Below are 3,844 nucleotides of genomic sequence, written 5' to 3' on the forward strand. Positions count from 1 at the left end.
GCGTGTTAAGGTTTTTCTTTTAGGTAAGAATTTTCTCTACATCAAAAGCAAATAGTTTTTTTTTTTTAAAAAAAAAACGTATGATTTCTTTCAAAACATAAGCCTTCTTCCTATGCAAGTTTACCAAATTCCTTATCCCATACACAACACAAATGTCAAATCTAGTTCATTTAAAATGAAAACTCTCAGAGTGGAACTCATTGCCCAGTTTATCTGTTCCCCTTCTCTTCTCATGTCCCCAAATAGTACTAAAATGCTTGCGAGAGAGGCACTGGTGGCTTTTAGAACCTTCCCTTTATTTTCTGCTTAAATGTGTTTGTTAAATGTCACAGCGCCGAGAAGGTTCAGTGCTGGAGTTCAAGAACACTCCGAAATGTCTTATTAATTCTTCATAACGCATCGACAGGCAATGCTTAAAAACAAAGCCCCAAGAAGAAAGCTGTGGTGAGTCACGGGCTGCACGTGGCTTGTCCCCGCTTCGGCATCTGGAAGCCCACTTCTAAACAGGAAAGGCATTTTTAACCCTGGTTTGTTTGTTTTACAGTGTCCAACTATCTGAGTCACATTCCTGGCACTTGGCACTTTGTTTTAATTGAACACATACTATTAAACCCAAACTAAGGTTCTGAGTCTCTCAATTACCTGCAATTTTTGTCTTTCAAAGGAAAAAAAAAAGCCAAGGAGTCGCCGCTGCCCATATTTATTGGGAACCATCTGTTACACCTCTAATTAAAACCCACTTGTAATGAGCTTGTTAGTGCACAAAATGTGTCAGGTATCGGATATTATTCATGAAGCAGTTGTTTTGGTGGCTGAATGATGCCTTAAAATCCTATTAGTTTAACAAAGTAATGTATTAGTATTTTGACCCGATATACAAGAGACTTCAGAATGACCTGGCACTCAGCTTGTTTAATATTTTTTTCTCAAATATGTTGCTATTTCTACCTAATATATAGTCAGATGGCCTCTTATAATTGCAGTATCAAATCTTTGCCTCAATTTTCAACTGCAGGTGATTCCAAATGATTAAAGATGCACAACGGGGAATAAACAAAAATGCTTACATGCAATTATTTTTAATTAGTATTTGGCTATAAAGTGTATGGCTTCATAAAAAAGTCTGTTATTCACATAAACATCTGTTACCATACACACAAGGAAACACACTGTAAGTCTGTCATCACATCACCAAAACAGAAACACGGAGGGAGGCTGGCCAGGAAAGCCAGCACTTTGAGCTCTTCAACAAAAGATCTGAGTCTAACTAACTGCCAAAACAGACGCCAAGCCACACCTTTCAATTACCATCGCTCACAATCAAAGGAAGAGCGGTTACCCACGGAATTACACTCGAAAATGTTAAAATAGATGGAATTATTCTTTGAAAACAATAGAATCTCTGAGCACGAGACAATTTCGAATTCTTTTACTAATTTTGCACCCGTGCGCATAATCAGACAGTTTCCTGTTTGCACGCTGTCTGCTGGCTGCTAATTTTCCAGGTTCTCCGCACTCTTATTTTTGTTCGTTAATACATCCAAACTTTGTGAAATGCAGCGGCTTAAATCCCAAGTGCCGAATATTAGCCTTGTTTCACGAGAGCCTCCAGCAAGGGGAAAAAATATATATATATTTTAAGTGAGCGTGCCCCCACCACGCACAGGGAGAGAGATACAGGGAAATAAATTAATACTGCAGTAATTGATAGGTGGAGATAAGGCTGCTCTGTGGAATACTGAGAGGAAAATGAAGGGGAGGTGTGAGAATACTTTGCCCATGAATTACTGAATCAGTGGGAATTAGCCGGCTCCAGTCGGTGGAAGCTCTTGGAAGCGTAGGGCTCCAGGATTACCCCCAGAAACCCAAGTTAACACACTCTGTTCGCAGCCCAAAATCTGCAGCTTTTATTAAACGCACAATTCACGTGCCAAAAGAACTTATCTTCATTTGCATGAAAATGCTAACAATAATTTAATTGAATCACACAAATCAGCATCTATACTATTGCCACACTGGGTTGTCTGTGCTCAAATTAGGCAGAAATCATGACCCCTGGCTGTGGCCCCGGGGGATCAATAAGCAGTTGTTACCCTAACACCCCTCCCCGCCCCGCACCAGGCTCTGGCTTGCCCCTTACAAGGCGATGTTCATCCGCCTCACCAAGGCACGGCCCCCCTGAGGGAGGCTGTGTTGGAGATTCTCACCAGTCTGTCCTGACCATGTCAGGGAGGACACAGCCCAGGGCAGCGGGCAAGTGGACCAAAGGACCTCCGCATCGTGGCCTCAGTCTTTCTAACTGTTCAAACTCAGCTCTGACTCCCAAGATGGTCTTGGAGGGCCCAAGACGGAAGGCCAGTCCCCAGGAACACGGCACCCCTCCACACTGCCCACACACTGCCAGCCTGCATCAAGCACCCTCATCTCCCAGAAACAGGCCCATCTGGGAGGCTGGTGTTAACCTGCAGCCAAGACGCCTTTAAACCCGGCCGCCTGGCAGGCAAAAGCCCAGGTTCACTCAAGGGCAAGCAGCACAATCATTAGCAGCCCCGTGTAATTTAAAAACATAACCAGGAACAACTGAAAGGAAGAAATATACTGTGGGACTAAATCTATTGATCAAGAGCCCCCCAAAGACAGGCCGTAAATAAAATGGCACAATGACCAGAAAAGGCCGGTTTTACATTAAGAAGCAGCAAATTCATTGCCGGGGTGAGCCTGGGAGCCAGGCCCGTGCGCCGGCTGCGTCCTCCCAGGCAGGAAGGTGAAAGATGACCCATTCCTCACGCGGAAGGCGCGCTGGGCTACAGCCAGGCTGCCCTTTGCTAAGCGCGCATCCCTCACGCGAGGAATCCTCATTTTTCAATCATGCCCGCGTTTCAGCCGTCTTCCCCTTGACGTCACTCCTTCGGCATCGTCTCTCCGTCGAAGAGATACTTTTAACCATTCAGTGCCCTGACCCTGGACTCCCTGCTGGGCTTGTGCCCAGAGCCCAAGGAAGGCCGCCTCCCCCTTCGCAGGATGCTCTAGCGCACTCGCAAAGCCCAGGGCCACCTCCCCACCATCTCCTGATGGAGACAAGGTGGCCTGGCAGGTGACGGACAGCACATCACTTGCCACCCCAGGGTCAGCTGTGCTACCTGGGACCTCTGTCCCTTGCTTATTTTGGCAACAGAATCACAAAATCTTTGTTGGTTGAGGGGCGAAACTGGATGGAATTTTGAAAATCAAAGTTGCTATTCATATGTAGAATGTGTGGAAAATGAAACAACAAATATGAATGCCCAAGATTAATCTGAGAAAAATCCTAGGATAGCATGGGGCCAACCGGCAGAGTATCCATTACTGGTCTAGAAATTTCCCGGTAATATTCCTGGGCAGGTGGGTACTAGAGTGAGGAGAGGGAGGATCTCACCTTGGATACAAAATTTTAGGGAATGCCAAGAAGCTCAATCATCAATACATAATATTTTTAAAAATCAAAATGAATTCAACTTAGTGTGCTGTGTCAAATCCTACTGGAACTTCAGGCAAGAGGAAGCATCAGTGATGCCACCCCTTTATTTAGAAAACAGAATTGCTATTTCATGCATAGTGGATTTTTTGCATTAGTTTTTATTTTTAATATTATATTATTGTAAGTCTTGATTGCCGAGTTTTTTGGAGCTCTTTAAAGTTTGTGCCCTGGCTGGGCACGGTGGCTCACACCTGTAATCCCAAAACTTTGGGAGGCCAAGGCGGGCAGATCACCTGAGGTCAGGAGTTCGAGACCAGCCTGGCCAACGTGGTAAAACCCCATCTCTACTAAAAATACAAAAATTAGCCGGGCATGGTGGCGCATGCC

At 45.0% G+C, this 3,844-nt stretch overlaps 1 annotated feature.

The window, feature by feature from the left end:
* Positions 2,544-3,388: an enhancer, noted in NCBI's record as "H3K4me1 hESC enhancer chr10:131217643-131218487 (GRCh37/hg19 assembly coordinates)". NCBI's record gives its function as "activates a minimal SCP1, AML or CMV promoter by ChIP-STARR-seq in naive H9 embryonic stem cells {active_cell/tissue: H9 hESC(naive)}" and the evidence as "EXISTENCE:reporter gene assay evidence [ECO:0000049][PMID:30033119]".

Source organism: Homo sapiens, chromosome 10, assembly GCF_000001405.40.
Source record: "Homo sapiens chromosome 10, GRCh38.p14 Primary Assembly".
NCBI lineage: Eukaryota > Metazoa > Chordata > Mammalia > Primates > Hominidae > Homo > Homo sapiens.